This window comes from Homo sapiens, chromosome 22, assembly GCF_000001405.40.
Source record: "Homo sapiens chromosome 22, GRCh38.p14 Primary Assembly".
Classification (NCBI taxonomy): Eukaryota; Metazoa; Chordata; class Mammalia; order Primates; family Hominidae; genus Homo; species Homo sapiens.
Genome location: NC_000022.11, coordinates 39071180 through 39090032, shown reverse-complemented (window position 1 = coordinate 39090032; position 18853 = coordinate 39071180). Strand labels below are relative to the sequence as shown.

At 53.4% G+C, this 18853-nt stretch overlaps 1 protein-coding gene across 5 annotated transcripts, besides 7 other annotated features; it reads right to left on the bottom strand.

The window, feature by feature from the left end:
- Positions 674–1482: an enhancer, noted in NCBI's record as "H3K4me1 hESC enhancer chr22:39484556-39485364 (GRCh37/hg19 assembly coordinates)". NCBI's record gives its function as "activates a minimal SCP1, AML or CMV promoter by ChIP-STARR-seq in naive and primed H9 embryonic stem cells {active_cell/tissue: H9 hESC(naive and primed)}" and the evidence as "EXISTENCE:reporter gene assay evidence [ECO:0000049][PMID:30033119]".
- Positions 1483–2292: an enhancer, noted in NCBI's record as "H3K4me1 hESC enhancer chr22:39483746-39484555 (GRCh37/hg19 assembly coordinates)". NCBI's record gives its function as "activates a minimal SCP1, AML or CMV promoter by ChIP-STARR-seq in naive H9 embryonic stem cells {active_cell/tissue: H9 hESC(naive)}" and the evidence as "EXISTENCE:reporter gene assay evidence [ECO:0000049][PMID:30033119]".
- Positions 2290–13028, bottom strand: APOBEC3G (apolipoprotein B mRNA editing enzyme catalytic subunit 3G). 5 transcript variants are annotated; one of them, NM_001349436.1, is made up of 8 exons: positions 12865–13028; positions 10948–11101; positions 8806–9100; positions 8448–8562; positions 6149–6302; positions 3466–3754; positions 2907–3022; positions 2290–2626 (listed from the first exon to the last, which is right to left on the bottom strand). In NM_001349436.1, exons 2-8 carry the CDS (start codon positions 11083–11085, stop codon positions 2612–2614), a joined length of 1122 nt encoding a protein of 373 aa, NP_001336365.1. In that variant the 5' UTR covers positions 11086–11101; positions 12865–13028; the 3' UTR covers positions 2290–2611. The 5 variants fall into 5 exon arrangements, 4 of the variants coding, with proteins under 4 accessions (NP_001336365.1, NP_068594.1, NP_001336366.1 ...); NM_021822.4 differs by lacking the exon at positions 12865–13028 and adding an exon at positions 12655–12758; NM_001349437.2 differs by lacking the exons at positions 10948–11101; positions 12865–13028 and adding an exon at positions 12655–12758.
- Positions 4700–5273: an enhancer, noted in NCBI's record as "H3K4me1 hESC enhancer chr22:39480765-39481338 (GRCh37/hg19 assembly coordinates)". NCBI's record gives its function as "activates a minimal SCP1, AML or CMV promoter by ChIP-STARR-seq in primed H9 embryonic stem cells {active_cell/tissue: H9 hESC(primed)}" and the evidence as "EXISTENCE:reporter gene assay evidence [ECO:0000049][PMID:30033119]".
- Positions 8068–8568: an enhancer, noted in NCBI's record as "H3K4me1 hESC enhancer chr22:39477470-39477970 (GRCh37/hg19 assembly coordinates)". NCBI's record gives its function as "activates a minimal SCP1, AML or CMV promoter by ChIP-STARR-seq in primed H9 embryonic stem cells {active_cell/tissue: H9 hESC(primed)}" and the evidence as "EXISTENCE:reporter gene assay evidence [ECO:0000049][PMID:30033119]".
- Positions 12865–12944: an enhancer, noted in NCBI's record as "active region_19029". NCBI's record gives its function as "activates an Ori minimal core promoter by ATAC-STARR-seq in GM12878 lymphoblastoid cells {active_cell/tissue: GM12878}" and the evidence as "EXISTENCE:reporter gene assay evidence [ECO:0000049][PMID:35858748]".
- Positions 12955–13004: an enhancer, noted in NCBI's record as "active region_19028". NCBI's record gives its function as "activates an Ori minimal core promoter by ATAC-STARR-seq in GM12878 lymphoblastoid cells {active_cell/tissue: GM12878}" and the evidence as "EXISTENCE:reporter gene assay evidence [ECO:0000049][PMID:35858748]".
- Positions 17128–17207: a silencer, noted in NCBI's record as "silent region_13741". NCBI's record gives its function as "represses an Ori minimal core promoter by ATAC-STARR-seq in GM12878 lymphoblastoid cells {active_cell/tissue: GM12878}" and the evidence as "EXISTENCE:reporter gene assay evidence [ECO:0000049][PMID:35858748]".

Here is an 18853-nt window from a genome sequence, read left to right as displayed (position 1 = left end):
AAGCAATAACCTTCCCTGCTGTCTCCGGATGGTCATTCATTCTTCCATGGGTAGAAAATTTGAAAGAAAAAAGTGGTAGATTTTGAAAATCTGTATTTGTTCTGAGGGTGGGGTAGGGGGATGACATTCACCAAGAACTGACCGGAATCATGGTCTTATTCCCTTGGTCTTACCCAGGAACAGCTCGGGGCTGCCTCTGCCAGTCTGTCCAACCATCATTAGACTGCATGGCCCTCCATGCTGGGATCCTGATGGGTTTGTTTTGTTTGCTACGTGGAGTGGAGTGGAGTGGGTGGCAAAATGTCCAGCTTTTCCCAGAGCACAGCGCAACAAAAGTTCATCATGATTGCCCATGACAGACACAGCCTGGGGCCTGGGATCCGATCTAAAACTAGCACTCACGGCTGGGCACGGTGGCTAACGCCTGTAATCCAAGCACTTTGGGACGTCAGGCGGGCAGATCGCTTGAGGTCAGGAATTTGAGACCATCCTGGACCAAAGTGGTGAAACCCCATCTTTACTAAAACTACAAAAATTAGCTGGGTGTGGTGGTGCACACCTATAATCCTAGCTACTCGAGAGGTGGAGGCAGGAGAATCCTGGAACTTGCGAGGCAGAGGTTTCAGTGAGCTGAGATCGCGCCACTGCACTCCAGCCTGGGTGACACAGCGAGACTCTGTCTCAAAAAAAACAAAAACAAACAACAACAAAAAAAACAAACTACACTGTAAAATGCTTGTAGATAACACTGATAAAACACTGTGCCTCCCGGAGACACTTCTAAGCACAGGTGACAGGGGTCAGCTCCTGGGGAGTGACAGCCCCGCCCCCATTTCAGCCTCTGCAACATTGAGGGAAAATGTAAGACCCCATATCCCGCTGGAGTTTCCACCAGAGCCCAGGAAAAGTCCTCGGGGACAAGAAGGAGCTGGTTCCCCATGTGGGTGGCAGGGATGGGAGCAGGGAGAATGGCCTCCTTCACAGGTGCAGGCTTCACCTGAGATTCACCCTGGTCCCCTGTAAGGGGGGGACAAGGCAGGCACGCAGCTGGGGTCCAGACTATTGAGGGAGAAGGCAGGGCAGAGGGACCCTGGGCAGGTGCTGGGCTGTGCAGCCTGGGACCAGAATGGAGGTTCCGCTTGGGTTTGGAGTCCATGCTGCTGTGTCCGGGGTCCCGGCTCTGCCACCACTGTGGGGGCCCGCCTCCCTACAGCCCAGAGGGACCACAGGCTCTCAGTTCCCAGCCCAGGTCTCAGCAGTGTCATGGGGCTGTGTCCAGTTCCCATCCCAGGAGAGCTCTGGGGCACCTGGAGGAGGTTTCTTATTGTCAAGTCTCTGTCACTGTGTGTGTGTGTGTGTGTGCACGTGTGTTGTGTGTGTTGTGTACGTGCATGTGTGTTTTTGTGTGTCTTGTATGTGTGTATTGTGTGTCGTGTGAGTATTGTGTGTGTTGTGTGTGTGTTGTGTGTAGTGCGAGTATTGTGTGTGCGTGTTGTGTGTGTCTAGGCCAGGGAAACAGTGAGTCGTTTCTGCCCAGGAGCAGCTGCGTGTGAGGCCCCTTCTTGGTCTTATACGCAGCTTCTGAGGACTTTCCAGAAATCGTGAGGTGGGAGCCACCTGCTGTAATCAGGCACATAAATAACACATCCCAGAGTCGGGAACCAATGCAGAACACCCGGGACAGACACCAAGCTGAAGCCACAGCCCTGACACCTGCCGCCCTAGCCCTGGGCTCCGTCTCTGCCTCTGGAGCCTCCTGTCCCTGGGACTCAGCTCCCCTCCCCTCTGTGGCTGGGCTCTGCCTCCTGGGCTGCTCCTCTTCCCAGCCCTCTCTCTGGGCCCAGCCTGGACACCTGCCCGCTCCCTGGGCTCCTTCCCCTGACTGGGCCTGTCCTGGGTCTCAGCCATGGCCTTCCCTGGGCTCCCTCTCTAGGAGGTGGACTCAGGAAGGGGTGGACACAGGGCTGCTCCCGAGGGCCCCTGACTGCACGTGTGTGGTTCCTTTCCAACAGGGAGACTGGCTGCTGGCTGTCCTCTTACTGCTGGGCCTGTCCCTTCCAATCAGCGCCCAGGGCTCTGTGAGTGAGAGTGGGCGGGGCTCTGTGAGTGAGGGTGGGGTCTGCATTTAGGTTCCTCTCCTGTGAGGTTTAGCTGAGTTTTCTGGCTCCAGAGGGATGTCGTGTGACCTTTCCCGGCTACAGGTCCGCTACACAAGGAAAGACATCTACACATTTGCTAGTGTTTATGGAAACACTTGCAATTCATGATACAATCACACAGGGAAACATATACAGAAAGATTTAGTATTTCATTTTATTCCTCTACCTACAAAACCGATTCAAATTGTCGCTGGATTAGTAGGTTTGAAACTTTTCTGTGTATTGAGCACAATCTTAGTACTTTATTCTTGAAATATAAATAAATTTTTGATTCAAAGTAATGCACTCTAATTTTTAAAAGAATCTACTTGGTCAGGAGTGCATTGCTTTGCTGGTGTCTGTGATCAGCTGGAGATGGTGGTGAACAGCCTGTTTGCATTTCTTGGAAGAAGATCTTTTATTCTGAGGCTCAACCCAGGTCTCTGCCTTCCTTAGAGACTGAGGCCCATCCTTCAGTTTTCCTGATTCTGGAAGAGCAGGGAGGTTGAATGGAGCAAAGGGTGAGCGAGTGGAAAGTAGGCATATGGTGGAGGCCTGGGGACAGTGACAATGATCGGAGAGGAGGGAGGGATGTGGGAGGTGGGAGAGAAAGGGAGGCTGTGAGAAGGAAAGGGAGGGACAGAGACAGGTGCCCTGGGGGAGCAGGGAACCCAGAGGAGGCTCTGAGCAGAGGGGAAGGCACGGCGCAGGGGAGAGGGGAGGAGGGGGAGGCCGATGGGGCACTGGGCAGAGGGAAGAAGCCCTCACCTGGAGAATGGCCCGCAGCCTCCCACTCAGGTCTTGGCTGTGCTCATCTAGTCCATCCCAGGGCTGGAAGGGACATCCCTGGTGGTCCACAAAGGTGTCCCAGCAGTGCTTAAATTCTGAAAAGGGACAGGGGAGATAAGTCACACTCCCGCTGTGGGATCGTGGTGGCACCAAAGGCCCATGACTCTCAAGACAGACTTCCCACATCCTGGTTTCAGTCCCTCCTTTCCCTCTCCCTCCCCTAGGGACTTAGCTCCTTCATCAGGCACTTCTTTCCTATTGGAATCTGGGCCAGCCCAGTTCTCATTTTTTCTGGAAGCCCCAAGTTCTGCTTCCACTTCCAGCCACCCTCCCCGCCCTCCCCAGGTCCACATCTCCTGGCCTGGCCTCTCTCTTCCCGTCGACCCCAAAGTCAGGTCCAGAGTGCAGCCATCGCCTCTGCAGGCAGAGGATCAAGGCCTTTCCCACAGGGATGCCGACCCTCCCCACTTTCTAGTAACTTCCCGGGGCCCTCTCCTGCCCTGGCTGACCCCATCCTACTCCAGGCTTCCATTCTCACCACTGTATGTCATTATTGAAATTTTGGCCCCAGCCTCGGCCAGGGTGCGCAGCCCCTCCTGACATCTTCCTTGATCATCATAGATGCGGGCAGTGAAGATGCACAGGCTCACGTGTTTGTTTTTTGAAATGAATTTAGCCATTTCCTGGGCACAGCTGAAGCAGGGGCTCCAGGAGGTGAAGCAGGTAACCCTGTAGTCCTGGTCCAGGTCCAGCTTCCAAAAGGGAATCACGTCCAGGAAGCACAGCTCTGCATGGCGGCCTTCAAGGAAACCGTGTTTATGTGGAGCCTAGAAAAGAAAGCAAGCCATGAGGTAATCTTTTTTTTTTTTGAGACAGAGTTTCACTCTTGTTGCCCAGGCTGGAGTGTACAAGTAGCTAGGATTACAGGCATGCACCACCACACCAGGCTAATTTTGTATTTCTAGTAGAAAAGGGGTTTCTCCATGTGGTTCAGGCTGGTCTCAAACTCCCAACCTCAGGTGATCTGCCCTCCTCAGCCTCCCAAAGTGCTGGGATTACAGGCATGAGCCACAGCGCCCGGCCGAGGGAATTTTTAGTGAGTCAGGAGGGACAGCCTGGATCAGGGTGGGTGCGGGGCAGCCTCCAGCACAAAATTAGACGGGGGCACCAAACCCCAGTTATCAAGATGACTTTTCTTTTCTTTTCCTTTCTTTTCTTTGAGACAGAGTCTGGTTCTGTCACTCAGGCTGGAGTGCAGTGGCGCCATCTTGGCTCACTGCAACCTCCACCTCCCGGGTTCAAGCGATTCTGGTGTCTCAGCCTCCCCAGTAACTGGGACTGCAGGCATGCACCACCACGCCTGGCTAATCTTTGTATTTTCAGTAGAGACGGGGTTTCACCATATTGGCCAGGCTTGTCTTGAACTCCTGACCTCAAGTGATCTGCCCGCCTCAGCCTCCCAAAGTGCTGAGACTACAGGCATGAGCCACCACACCTGACCGGATTTTTACAATAATCTATTAAATAATTTAATTTTCCATTACGATGAGATTTCTCTGATACTGAGTATTTGGAGCATCCTCTCATTCTGCACATGAGGTCAGTGCCTTCAGGACCCTCACTCCGCCCCAGGCCTGCAGGGAGGGGCTGTAGAGCTGGGGGAGGGAGGACAGATGCCACTGAGCTGCGTGTGCTTCCCTCATGGGGAGGCTGACCTGTCTACCCGTCAATTCCCCTTGCCCCACCCCTTCTGTGACCTATAATTCTAGAAGCTTCCACATTGTGCTTTACCCTGTATTAAGCCCACGAGTGACATAGACTGAGGCCAGAGGGCTCCCTTTGCAGGGAGAAGTGGGGATGAGGGGCCCCCAGCAGGACTAACCCCACATTGGGAAGGGCCCCAGTCATGGGGTGATTGTCCTTGTTGAGCCCAAGGAATGATGGTGTTTTGTCCAAATTTCGACTGGGAACTAGTCAAGCCCAGGAGTCCAGTGCAGAGAGGACTCGGGGTAGAATGGATGACACGATTTGTGCTGAGAAGGGGCTGTGGGTCATTCCTGGGGGAGTCCCATCCCACTGGTTAGACAGTGATGGGGACCGGTGCCTTTGAAAGTAGCTTCCAAGCAGTGTGTGTGGGCCCAGCAGGGCCCATATTAAGCTCATAGAGCCCAGAGGAACCCCGTTTCCAGCACCAGAGCCAAGCAGAATTTGGCCTCTCCAGCCAGGGGCTGTGCTGGGCAAGGGCGAGGGAAGAACGTCCCTCGGGCTCAGGGCCCCTCGGCCTGGCCTGGCCCAGCTCTTCTTCAAATGCTGGCCATCCCTGCATCCTGACTTGGGGCCTGTTCTGGCCTTGCTGTGGGCTCCATCCTGGTCAGGACAGAATCCCTGGTCGGCCTCTCCTGCCTCAGTCTCTTTTCCCGCAGGATGAAGCCCAGGAGCAGGCACTGGGGAATCCTGGCCTTGTGAGGTCAGGTAGGCCCTGATCCTCAAATCCCACAGTTCTGAATCATTCCTGGTGGGAGCTGTGTCTGTGAGGGGATCCTGGGAGGGTCCTCAGGAAGCACTTTTTTTTTTTTTCTTGAGACGGAGTCTCGCTCTGTTGCCCAGGTGGAGTGCAGTGGCACGATCTTGGCTCACTGCAAGCTCTGCCTCCCAGGTTCATGCCATTCTCCTGCCTCAGTCTCCTGAATAGCTGGGACTACAGGCGCCTGCCACCACACCTGGCTAATTTTTTGTATTTTTAATAGAGATGGGGTTTCACCGTGTTAGCCAGGATGGTCTTGATCTCCTGACCTTGTGATCGCCAGCCTCGGCCTCCCAAAGTGCTGGGATTACAGGCATGAGCCACCGTGCCCGGCCGGAAGCGCTTTTTCTTTGATCCCACTTGGCCCTGGTGCAGACCCTTTTCCTCTGCCCTGACCCTCTCAGAGCACAGCAGGAGTGGGGACGGCTGAGACCTGGACCTGGGGGTGACTCTGGACTAGTGGTGTTAGCCCCTGAGACATGTGGCTGGTTAGGCGTGTGGGGCTGGAAGCCACCAATCCTGGAGAGTCACTGAAGCCGAAGTCTCCCCCAACCCCAGGGCCAAGCAGCAGCAGCTACAGGAAGCACAGGTGACAGACACTCTGCAGGACACCACAGGTACCACCCAGAACCTTCTGCCCATGGGTGTCCCTGGGTTGGGAGGGCCCTGCCTGGATGCGGGTGGCTGGGTTGGTCACCTGGTTGCATAGAAAGCCCCTGCGCTGGTTCAGCAGGACCCAGGTGTCATTGTGCATGCGCTCCACCTCATAACACAGGTAAGTCTCATGCCGTCCTCTGACCCAAGGTTCATTGTTAAAGTTGAAAGTGAATGTGGGTGGATCCATCGAGTGTCTGGAAAGTGGGGGAAAAGCCCAGAGGAGTAAGAGCCCTCCTGGTCTGTCCCACCTCCCCCTCCCTCTCCACGCTTCCTCCCTTGCACCCCACCCTCCTTCCTTCCCCCGGCTCCCCACATCCCTTAGCACCTGTCAGAAGGGGCTCCCACTCACTTGCTAGAGCCTCCAAACCTCCCCCTCTGACCCCTTCTGGGGCTCACTGGGAGATCACGGCAGCCCTGGGGCCTGTCTAAGCCTTGTCAGGGTCTCCCCAGGGTCAGCTCAGTGTGCTCAGGCCCTCTCCCTGGGGTACAGCTGGGTCTTCTTCCCTGGCCTCACCATAGACCCCAGTCCTGGCTCTGCTCGCTCTCAGTCCTTGCTGGAGGTGGACCCACTGGGGCACCCCTCCTGCCTACAGGGTTAACTCTTGCCACACCCAGCATCAGGGCAGAGACACTCCTGAGCGGGACCAGCGGGGAGAAGAGCCTGCCAGGGAGTTTTTTTGTTTTTTTTTAAATAACTCACAGGATTTCTTCTGTTGCCAAAAATACCTGTCCTTACAAAACCACAATTATAAAGGTAAAAGTGAATTATTAGCACCCAGTGCAGAGGCATTTCCAAACCAGAAACACCAGATCTTCACCCTGGAGTGGACAGAGGGGAGGATGCCACCTTTGATAGGACTCTGCAGAGCCCAGCCTGGAACTGGGAAGATTCTGGCTGGGGAAGCCACAGGCATCAGCTGAGGGGTCATGTCCGGACCCCAGAGAGGCCCAGAGAGAGGCTGAGAAGAGGAGCAGCCCGGGAGTGGGGGAGCAGGGGAGCCTGTCGGGGGAGCTAAGGAGGGGCTCAGGAGTGTTGGGTGCAGAAGGAATGGGGTGGGTGAAGCACACAGGAACATCTGGGTGGAGGGGCTGTGAGAGTCAGGTCAGGACTCCCCTGGGAAACAGACACACAGGACAGGAACCCCTGCACTCCCCACCCAGGCCCGCCCACAATGACTGCAGCTTCTTGCCGTGGCCTTCACTGTTTCTCCCCAAAATCAATGTATTGAAGCCTTAACCCCCGCTCCCTCAAAGGGTGGCTGTATTTGGAAACAGGTCCTTTCTTTCTTGTTTGTTTGTTTGAGAAGAAGTTTCGCTTTTTTGCCCAGGCTGGAGTGCAGCGGCGCAGTCTGGGCTCACCGCAACCTCCGCCTCCCGGGTTCAAGCGATTCTCCTGCCTCAGCCTTCCGAGTAGCTAGAATTATAGGCGCCCACCACCACTCCCGGCTAATTTTTGTATTTTTGGTAGAGATGGGGTTTTAACATGTTGGCCAGGCTGGTGTCGAACTCCTGACCTCAGGTGATCCACCCGCCTTGGACTCCCAAAGTGCTGGGATTACAGGCATGAGCCTCTGCACCTGGCCTGGAGACAGGTCCTTTCATCAGATGATTAACTTAAATGAGACCTTCAGTGTGGGCCCAAATTCACATGACTGGGGTCCATAAACGAGGAGGACATTTGGAGGCAGAGAGACCCCACGAGTGCAGGTGCACAGAGGAAAGGCCAGAGAGGACAGGGCCGGAAGGGACCCCCTGCCAGCCAGGAGGAGCGACTGCAGAAGACACAACCCCGCCCACCCCTCCACCTTGGACTTGCAGCCTCCAGATGTGTGAGAAAATAAATGCCTGCCCTGTGGGCACCCAGCCCGGCCATCTTCTATGGCAGCCGAAGCCTGAAGCTCTGTTTCCATGGAGGCAGCTCCTTCTCAGGGGCTCAGGTTGGCCTTTAAGGATGTTGCTCAAAGCTTCTGACTGCCGGGCTTGTGACTATTCATGCCCACTTACTACGTCCAGTTTTACGACAAATTCGGTTATGCCAGGGAGATGGAAGGGGCCAGGTTGGGGCTCCCAGGCTGTGGGGGTGGATGGAGGTTGCTCTGGAGGCAGAAGGGGCCTCTCACTCACAGGAAGGGCCCAGGAAAGCAGGTGGGAGGCAGGGAGGTGGAGGGAGCACGAGGAGTGTGGGTGAGGGAGTGTAACCACGAGGGCAGGCAGGGGGCAGGAGGGAAGGCAGGAGGGCCTGGCCAGGAGAGGACCTGGTCTGGAACAGAGGGGAGGCCTCAAGAGGATGAGCAGGAGGTGAGAGGAGCGAGGCGATGAGCCTGGAGGGAGACCCTCACCTGAGAATCTCCCCCAGCATGATGTGCAGTAATATATAATATTTAGGCAGATTATTCCAAGGCTCAAATAGCTCTCTTTGGCTGTACACGAACTTGCTCCAACAGTGCTGAAATTCTAAGAAAAAGAAGAGAGAACGCAGTCAAGCCCAGCTGGCCTCTCTTCTGTGACCTCGGGACCCTCCCCTCCCAGACATATTCTAGATACTAGTTACAGTCAGCGCCAGACCCAACCCCACAGGCTCCCCTGGGACACTTGGCCTTTGCAGGCATCAGAGCAGACCCACAGGTATGTGTGGGAAGGACCCATCACAGACACTTAAGCAGTCTCTCCCACACCCCTGAACCTCCCACTTCTCACCGTCATAATTCATGATCTTCATGGTGGCACGCGGACCGTCTCTTTTCTGACACAGGCTGCGAAGCGCCTCCTGGTAATCTGGGTCCCAGAAGTAGTAGAGGCGGGCAACAAAGATGGTCAGGGTAACCTTCGGGTCCTCGGCCAGGAACGTGGCCATATCCCTTGTACACTTTGTGCAGGGGCTCCAGGATATGTACCAGGTGACCTCATACTCCTGGTCACGATGCAGCTTCCTCCACTTGCTGAACCAGTGGAAGAATCTCATCTCTGGGTGGTACTTAAGTTCGGAATACACCTGGGAGAGGAGCAGGGTCAGGGCAAGCTCTGAGAGGGGGAGCAGGAGGAGAGCAGGGGTGGGGCAGGGGGAGGAGGGGCCAGGACAGGAGTCCAGGAGATCTTGCCATTGAAGCTCCTTTCCTCCATCCCCCTGTTCGGTTTGAGTGTTTGTCTGCTCCAAAGCTCATGTTCAGTATTAATTGCTATGGTAATGGCCTTAAGAGGTGGCACCTACAAGCAGCTATGAGGCTGTGGGAACTGCACCTTTGTGGGTGCCACTGCTGTGGTTATTCAAGGGCGACTTCAGCCCCTCTTTCTGTCTCTTGCCCTCTAGCTGGGGGGGCAGTATGTCAGACTAAACTGCTTCCTCTTGCCCCCATGTCACGGAGCAGCAGTGACTCGACATCCCAGGCCACTCTGTCTGGAGCATCCCCTGAGCTTCTGGCAACAACCTTCACCCCCACGTGACTGTGCAGCTCGCAGGCCCTGGAAAGTTGCTGGTGCATTGACAGGGGACTTCCCAGAGTCCAGAACTCGAGCCCATACATTTCTGTTCATTGTAAATGTCCCCATCTCAGTCCTGCTGTTGAAGCATCACAAGGTGCACCAAGACACGTGCTTCCCTGAGTTTGGAAGTTTTCCCAGCCCTGTTCATGGCCTCGTGTGTGAATTCTAGCATCCATTCTCCCAGGCATCCATTCACCAGACATCCTCAGCCCCTACTGTGGCCTGGCCCTCTAGGGTCTGCCTTGTTCCCTGCCTGCAGTCAGTGGGGAGCCCACTGGACCTGCACTGTCCATGTCGGGGGGGGTGACATGGCCAAGGGACTACTGAGTACTTGAAATGGGGCTCTGATTAGAGACCTGGGCACCTGAAAAATACACCACTCATTTCTTTTTTTTTTTTTGAGATGGAGTTTCGCTCTTGTTGCCCAGGCTGGAATGCAAGGATGCAATCTTGGCTCACTACAACCTCTGCCTCATGGGATCAAGCGGTTCTCCTGCCTCAGCCTCCCGAGTAGCTGGGATTACAGGTGACTGCCACCATGCCTGGCTAATTTTTTTTTTTTTTGTATTTTTAGTAGAGATGGGATTTCACCATGTTGCCCAGGCCGGTTTTGAATATCTAACTTCAGGTGATCTGCCCGCCTTGGCCTCCCAAAGTGCTGGGATTAGAGGTGCGAGCCACCCACTGTACGTGACCCACGCAGCTCATTTCAAAGACTCGGTGTGACAAGAAAAAGAAACTTCATTATCTTGTCAAGAATTTTATGTTAATTAATGTTGAAGTAATATGTTAGCCACATTGGATTAATTAAATATTAAAATTAGGCCGGCGCTGTGGCTCACACCTGTAATCCCAACACTTTGGGAGGCCGAGGCAGGTGGATCACCTGAGGTCAGAAGTTCGAGACCAGCCTGGTGAATATGGTGAAACCCCATCTGTACTAAAAATACAAAAAAAAAATCAGCTGGGCGTGGTGGTGGGCACCTGTAATCGCAGCTACTTGCGAGTCTGAGGCGACAGCATCGCTTGAACCCAGGAGGCAGAGGTTGCTGTGAGCCGAGATCGCGTCATTGCACTCCAGCCTGAGCAACAAGAGTGAAACTCTGTCTCAAAAAAAAAAAAGAAAAAAGAAAAGAAAAGAAAAACGGAAACACAAGGCCTTTTGTGCAGAGGCAAACCCCCTCCACGATCCGATCCCAGGACGGTCCAGCAGGAAGGTCAGGGCCACGGACTTGGAAAGTGTGGGAGAGAAGGACACACTGGATAGCCCGCCGCCGGGCACTTCACTTATCAGTGCGTGGTTTGCTTTCCCAGCTGGCTTAGCTCCTGCCTGCAAAGTGATTGGAGTCCGGGTGGTACCTGGCCTCGAAAGATCTTTGCGTCCAAAGGGGGCCTTGAGGGACCCTTTGTTTTCACTTCGTAGCACAGCCAGACGGTATTCCGACGAGAAAGGATGGGTCTATTATAAAAGTTGTAGGAGAATGTGTCTCGATACATTCGCTCCACTGTGTTTCTGAAGACACAAGAGAGAAACCAGCCAATGTAGAGAGCACTCCTGGGGGCCCTCCGGGCTGATGTCCACTAAACACAGCCCCCTGGACGGCTCTAGGCCTCCCCCATCCCTCCCCTCCCCTGAGAATTTCGGCGGAGACTGTAGTGAGCCAAGATCGCGCCACTACACTCCAGCCTGGGCGACAAGAGCGAAATTCCGTCTCAAAAAAAAAGAGAGAGAGAGACAGAATAAAACTCTTCACCCCAAAATAACAGCTTTTAACCTTTCAGCTCAGTTCCTTCCTGACATTTCACCTCTGTATATTATTATTGTTAAATCATGGTAGAACCGAATTCTGAGGCCCAGGCCAGTCTTCTAAGTGCTGCGCGGGGGTGAGCTCATGTGAGGCTGCCCTAGGCTGGCAGGGGCCATTCCCGTCTTACAGAGGAGGGGCCAGACGCGCAGAGAGGCGGGGTAACCTGCCCAGGCCACAGAGCTGGGGACAAATGGAGTGGGGGCCCCTTTCCAGGCCAGCCCTGTCCAGTCTCTGTATCACTGGCCCTGCAGGAGGCAGCCATTGGGGACCGGGCTCTCTTCTTACTAAATTTTAAAATAACAACATTCCTCCTGATCATTGAGTTTTTTTCCCATATATTCCATGTTTTTTCTTTTGTTTTTGTTTTTTTTTCTTTCAAGACGAAGTTTTGCTCTTGTTGCCCAGGCTGGAGTGCAATGGGGCGACCTCAGCTCACTGCAAACTCCGCCTCCTGGGTTCAATGGATTCTCCTGTCTCAGACTCCCAAGTAGCTGCGATTACAGGCGCCCGCCACCACACCCAGCTAATTTTGCATTTTTAGTAGAGACAGGGTTTATCCATGCTGGTCAGGCTGGTCTTGAACTCCTGACCGCAGGCGATCCGCCCACCTCAGCCTCCCAAAGTGCTGGGATGACAGGTGTGAGCCACCGCACCCGGCCACTATATTCCATGTTACTGGTGTCATTTATAAACAGTGAATGCTGATAGTGGAGGAGGAGCGTGTGTTTGGGGTCATCTGCATCCTCCTCTGCCCACAGTGGAGACATCCTTGGAAGACATGATTTATCCTGTGCTTCAGAGACCATTCCCTCCCCACACCCTCTCCTAAGACTTGGTATTTAAGCAAAGTAAATCTTACAGAAAATCCATCAAAGCCCTGTGAACAAAATTCCACCTTGCTCTACTCATCCTTTGGTTCAATTCTCCCAGTTCCAGAGTTCAGGAATGGCGGGAAGCACACAGAGGGAGCACCCTCCCAGGGCCGGGAGCACCACCCCAGCCATGACTTTCAGGGGAGAGTCTCAGCAGGGGACCTGGGCTGGGACAGATGGGGGAGGCGGCCCATTCAGAAGCAGCAGTGGGGCGACAACACAGCAGGGCAAGGAGCCTGGCTGGGAGTAGGGGGTGCAGGGGAGTCAGAGGGGAGGGAGCCCAGGGCTGGGGCTGGGGCAGGGGAAGGCCAGGGCTGACGCCCAGCAGAGCCACCAGGCAAGAAGGGGCAGCAGAGGGGCCCAGTGGGTAGAGCGGGCAGCGGTACCTGAAGTGAGGCTTCATCCTTGGCCGGCTAGTCCCGACTAAGATCTTTGTCTGGAGCACCAGGGTTTCACTTTCTGCTCCAAGCTTCTGGTTTTAGGACAGCCCTCCCTAAAGTGACCTCCCAGGGCCTCGTAGTCATGGCCCCTCCCGCTTCCTGCTCAGGCGCTGGTGTAGGAGGCCCTGGGACGCTTTATCTTCCTCAGTCTCTCACCCTCTTTCTGGTTTTCTCTGGGGCCCTCCCCCTGGCAGAGGGACCTCTGATAAAGACAGGCCGCTCTGTGCGGCAGGACCCAAGGCAATTGCAAAGGGAAAGAGAAAGTCATTGCAGCCAGCGCCCGGGAGGTGGGTCCACACCAGGCTGAGCCAGCAGAGCACAAGCCCCTCCCCTGGTGGTCCCGCCCAGCTGGAGCCTCCTCTCCACCATCAAGACAGACAGGCTGATGCCTCCGCAGGGACTCCCGGATCCTGCCCTCGGGGATCATCCCAGAGACGGCCCCCACCCAGCGGCCATGGGGACAGGGAGGGAGAGTAAATGGCCAGGCGTCTGCCTCCCCCCAGGCCGTCACCCTCGGAGGCCACCGTGGGAGGGAGGGACAGCAGGTGGGTGTGGGCCTCAGATGTCCCACCGGGATGCCATGCGCGCCCCCACACTGAGCTCTTTCCTTCCTGCTTCTCCTTCTTCCCCATCTCCTGCCCGGAGATCCTCCGTGGTGGGCTGAACTTTTGCCCTCTCTTGTCCCCATGTTATGGAAGGGCAGCGGCTGGTGTCCCAGGCCAGCCTGTCTGGAGCCTCCCTGCGCGTCTCACAGCTCCCTTCCCCTGGTAGCGTGTTCCCATGGCGTGGTGACCTACAAATTACACAAGGGATGCATTTGCAAATGACACTTTATTTCTTGTTAAGGGTGACAGCCTGCAAGGTAGCCATCCAGCAGCCTGGGAAGAGCAGCCTCTGGTTAACACCAGAGACAGACATTTAGAAGCAGGAGGGGTTGGGGCAGGAGCTTTATGCTGAAGGGGTTAGCTAAACATACATATTGAACAGGCTACAGGAGGAGCTATGAATATTCATGTGGGTGGCTGCACTCCATGCTTATTGAACAAACATGCGTGTAACATATGATCCCAGGCGGGCACAGTGGCTCACACCTGTAATCCCAGCATTTTGGGAGGCCGAGGCAGGTGGATCATCTGAGGTCAGTGTCAGGCCGCTGAGCCAGAGCTAAGCCATTGTGACCCCTGTGAACTGCACATATACATCCAGATGGCCTGCAGCAGCCAAGAAGTCTGGAACAGCCAAAAAAACACAAAAGAAGTGAAACAGCCAGTTTCTCCCTTAACTGATTAACCAACCTTAAGACATTCCACCATTAGGACTTGTTCCTGCCCTACCCTAACTGATCAATCGACCTTATGACATTCTTCTTCTGGACAATGGGTCTCATGGTCTCCCACCATGCACCTTGTGACCCCCTCCCCTGCTGACAACAGATGACCGCCTTTGACTGTAACTTTCCACCGCCTACCCAAGTCCTATAAAGCTGCCCCTCTCCTATCTCCCTTCGCTGACTCTCTTTTCAGACTCAGCCCAGTTGCACCCAAGTGAATAAATGGCATTATTGCTTACACAAAGCCTGTTTAGGTGGTCTTCTATATGGACATGTATGACAGTCAGGAGTTCGAGACCAACCTGGCCAACATGGTGAGACCTCGTCTCTACTAAAACTACCAAAGTTGGCCGGACGTGGTGCCATGTGCCTGAAATCCCAGCTACTTGGGAGGCTGAGGCAGGAGAATCAGTTGAACCCGGGAGGCAGAGGTTGCACTGGGCCGAGATCGCACCACTGCCCTCCAGCCTGGGAGACAGAGTGAGACTCCATCTCAAAACAAAAAACAAACAAACAACAATCTATTAAAAAAAAAAAAAAAAAAAAGCAGCTGTATTATCCGTCCTCACATTGCGGTGGAGACAACATTTAAATGTACCACAATTAAGCCTGTATGTCAAAAGGTCCTTTCAGGACATGAAGGCACCAAAATTTGCCAGGTCTGTAAACCATTCAGAACTAGTCCATGGTCTGTGGTCTTCTGATCTGGAGAAAGTTACAGAAATCAGTCTCTTGCTCAGGGAAAGTAGGAATTAGGGCTGTGGAGCAGGGGCTCTGTTACTCCGTGTCCGGGCGCTGGGTGAGGTGGGATTGTTTTCATCTTTATCTGGAGGCAGTGCTTGTTTAGCTGCTAGAGCAAAAGAAAAATCTTGTGGCAGGCAGAACAGAGTTGACTGTTTAAGTGTGGGGTGTGTGATCTCACCCTTGCCTGGCACGGCCTGAGGTCCTGGTTGTGATTTGGTATCTGATTGCCATGAAGAGTCTGTTCTGGTTCTGCCCGTCTTATGATTCTGTTTTAACATTACTGCTGGTCAGTTGTGTCTAAACTGCAAAAGGGTGGGGTGATAATGAGGCGTGCCTGACCTCCCCTCCCATCATGGCTGGGAACTCAGTTTTAAGGTTTTTCTGAGATACCCCTGGCCACTGGGGGCCAAAGTTGGGGGGGATCGGTGGGGGCTAAAGACTTTATTTTTAGTTCATAGGCCTTTGGACTAAGCTCTGATTTGTTTTATTTAATCTTGCCCAAAATCCTATCTAAGGGGTCTGGGGAGTCATGCCTTACAACCCATACATCCTCATCAGAGGGGTTCTATTTTTTATTTTTTTATCTTATTGTATTTTAATGGAGGCCGAGTTTCACTCTTCTTGCCCGGACTGGACTGCAATGGTGCGGTCTCGGCTCACTGCAACCTCCGCCTCTCGGGTTCAAGCGATTCTCCTGTCTCAGCCTCCCAAGTAGCTGGGATTATAGGTCCCCGCCACCATGCCTGGCTAATTTTTGTATTTTTAGTAGAGATGGGGTTTCACCATGTTGGCCAGGCTGGTCTCGAACTCCCGACTGCAGATGATCCACCCGCCTCGGCCTCCCAAAGTGCTGGGATTACAGACATGAGCCACTGCGCCTGGCACAAATGGGTTTTATTTAACCCTATATATTGTGAGTTACTTTCCAATCTGACTCAGACACAACATTATGTGACAAAGAAGAAAGATAAAATATTTTACCCCAAAACATGTTTCTTTGCCATATCTGAAATGGCCCTGCAAAGTTGTCCCCGGTGGGGGAAAATTTGCATCTGTAAAGAACCTCTATTAACATAGCTGGATCTTTTTCTTCTAGGCCTTCCCAGTCCTAAACAGATTAACTAATTGGACCTTTTAAAGACCTGAATAGCAAACATTTGTCATCTATTATCTCTAAAGGCAGCCATTATGAGACTTCAAAATAACCTTGGTCTCCACAGTCTTTTATCTTAACTTGAACATTTCCTTTCTATGGATGCCAGGTCTCTAGACAAACTCAACCCATCCTCAACCAGAAAATGTTTAAATTTACCTGTAGCCTGGAAGCCCCCCAACCCCGCTTCCCTCACTTTGAGTCGTCTGACCTTTCAGGACTAAACCAATGTATTTCTTTTCTTTACTTTTTTTGTTTCTTTTTTTCTTTTTTCTTTTTCTTTTTCTTTTCTTTTCTTTTTTTTTTTTTTTTTGAGATTGTGTCTTGCTCTGTCGCCCAGGCTGGAGTGCAGTGGGGCAATCTTGGCTCACTGCAACCTCTGCCTCCCGGGTTCACGCGATTCTCCTGCCTCAGCCCCCTGACTAGCTGAGTTTACAGGTGCACACCACCACGCCCGGCTAACTTTTTGTGTATTTTTAGTAGAGACGCGGTTTCACTATGTTGGCCAGACTGGGCTCCATCTCCTGACCTCGTGATCCGCCCGCCTTGGCCTCCCAAAGTGCTGGGATTACAGGCATGAGACACCACGCCTGGCCTTTTCTTTTCTTTTTTTTTTTTTTTTTTTGGAACAGAGTCTTGCTCTGTCCCACAGGCTGGAGTGCAGTGGTGTGGTCTTGGCTCACTGCAACCTCTGCCTCCTGGGTTCATGCAATTCTTCTGCCTCAATCTCCCGAGTAGCTGGGATTACAGGTGCACACCACCACACCCGGGTAATTTTTTGTATTTTTAGTAGAGACGGGGTTTCACTATGTTGGCAAGGGTGGTCTTGAATTCCTGAACGCGTGATCCACCTGCCTCAGCCTCCCAAAGTGCTGGGATTACAGGTGTGAGCCACCGCGCCCAGCTCCTGTATTTCTTAAATGTATTTGATTGATGGCCCATGCCCCTCTAAAATGTATAAAACCAAGCTGCACCCCCACCACCTTGGGCACATGTTCTCAGGACCTCCTGAGGGCTGTGTCACAGGCCGTGGTCACTCGTATTTGGCTGAGAATACATCTCTTCAAATATTTTACTGAGTTTGACTCTTCGTTGACAGGCCCAAGATCCAGGTGCCCACTCCCTGTCTCCTCGGAGGGCCCGCGCTTCCGGTTCTCTGGCACCTCTGGTTCCTGGTTGCCCTTCTACTTTCTGTTCTGCTTTCTCAAAAAGCTCTGAACATCTCAAGCCTCCATGTAGTACCCAATTCTACTTTTCACTGAAAATCTTACTTAAACACCAACTTCATCACTGAGTGTTTTCTTGGCTCTTTCTCAGTCACGTTCCCTAGGCTGTGTCCTAGCCCAGAGCTGCACTGCTGGGAGGGATTTCAGAAGGGAGGGGCATGAGGAGGCAGGAGGGCTGGGTGCTGTTGGGTGTAGGAGGAATGAGGTGGGTGGAGCACGCAGGAAGGTCTGAGTGGAGGGGCTGTGAGGGTCAGGTCGGGACTCCCCTGGGAGACAGACACATAGGACAGGAACCCCTGCACTCCCCACTCAGGCCCGCCCACAGTGACTGTGGCTTGTTGCCATGTTGCCCTGTTTCTCCCAAAAATCAATATATTGAAGCCCTAACCCCTCTACCTCAATGTGTGGTTGTATTTGGAGACAGGTCCTTTTCAACAGATGATTAATTAATTCATTAATTAATATTTTTAGAGACGGAGTCTCACTCCGTTGCCCAAGCTGGAGTGCAGTGGCACCATCTCGGCTCACTGCAACCTCTGCCTCCCTGGTTCAAGCGATTCAAGCCTCAGCCTCCCGAGTAGCTGGGATTACAGGCACCTGCCACCACGCCCGGCTAATTTTTGTATTTTTAGTAGAGATGGGGTTTTGCCGTGTTGGCCAGGCTGGTCTTGAATTCCTGACCTCAGGTGATCCACCCGCCTTGGCCTCCCAAAGTGCTGGGATTGCAGGCGTGAGCCACCGCACCCAGCCAACGGATAATTAATTTCTTTTTATTTTTTATTTATTTACTTTTTGAGATGCAGCGTCACTCTGTCTTCCAGGCTGGAGTGCAATGGCACGATCTCAGCTCACTGCAACCTCTGCCTCCCGGGTTCCAGCGATTCGCCTGCCTCAGCCTCCGGAGTAGCTGAGATTACAGGCGTCCACTACCACGCCCGGATAATTTTTTTATATTTTTAGTAGAGACGGGGTTTCACCATGTTGACCAGGCTTGTTTCCAACTCCTGACCTCAAGTGATCTGCTGGCCTCAGCCTCTCAAAGTGCTAGGATTACAGGCGTGAACCACCACGCCCGGCCGAGATGATTACTTTAAACGAGACCTCTAGTGTGGGCACAAATTCGCTTGGCGGGGGTCCATCAAGGAGAAGGGTGGCCAAGTGCCCTGGCTCATGCCTTTAATCCCAGCACTTTGGGAGGCCGAGGTGGGCAGTCAGGAATTCGAGACCAGCCTGGCCAACACGGTGAAACCCCATCTCTACTAAAAAACACAAAAATTAGTAGAGTGGTTCTGGGCACCTGTAATCCCAGCTACTCAGGAGGATGAGGCAGGAGAATTGCTTGAACCTAGGAGGCAGAGGTTGCAGTGAGCAGTGATTCTACCGCTGCACTTCAGCCTGGGCAACAGAGTGAAACCTCCTCTCAAAAAAAAAAAAAAAAAAAAAGCCTGGATACAATGGCTCATACCTGTAATCCCAGCACTTTGGGAGGCCGAGGAGGGTGGATCACCTGAGCTCACAAGTTCAAGACCAGCCTGAGCAACATGGAGAAACCCCATCTCTACTAAAACTACAAAATTAGCCGGGCGTGGTGGCGCATGCCTGTAGTCCCAACTACTGGGGAGGCTGAGGCAGGAGAATCGCTTGAACTCGGAAGGCAGAGGTAGCAGTGAGCTGAGATTGTGCCACTGCACT

Excerpts from the sequence above, each read along its gene's own strand:
- APOBEC3G (NM_021822.4), bottom strand. Across the intron at positions 9,101-10,947 it reads CAAAGATCTTTCGAGGCCAG|GTGTATTCCGAACTTAAGTA; the intron begins GTACCACCCGGA and ends CTCCTCTCCCAG. Across the intron at positions 3,755-6,148 it reads GGGGCTTTCTATGCAACCAG|GCTCCACATAAACACGGTTT; the intron begins GTGACCAACCCA and ends TTTCTTTTCTAG.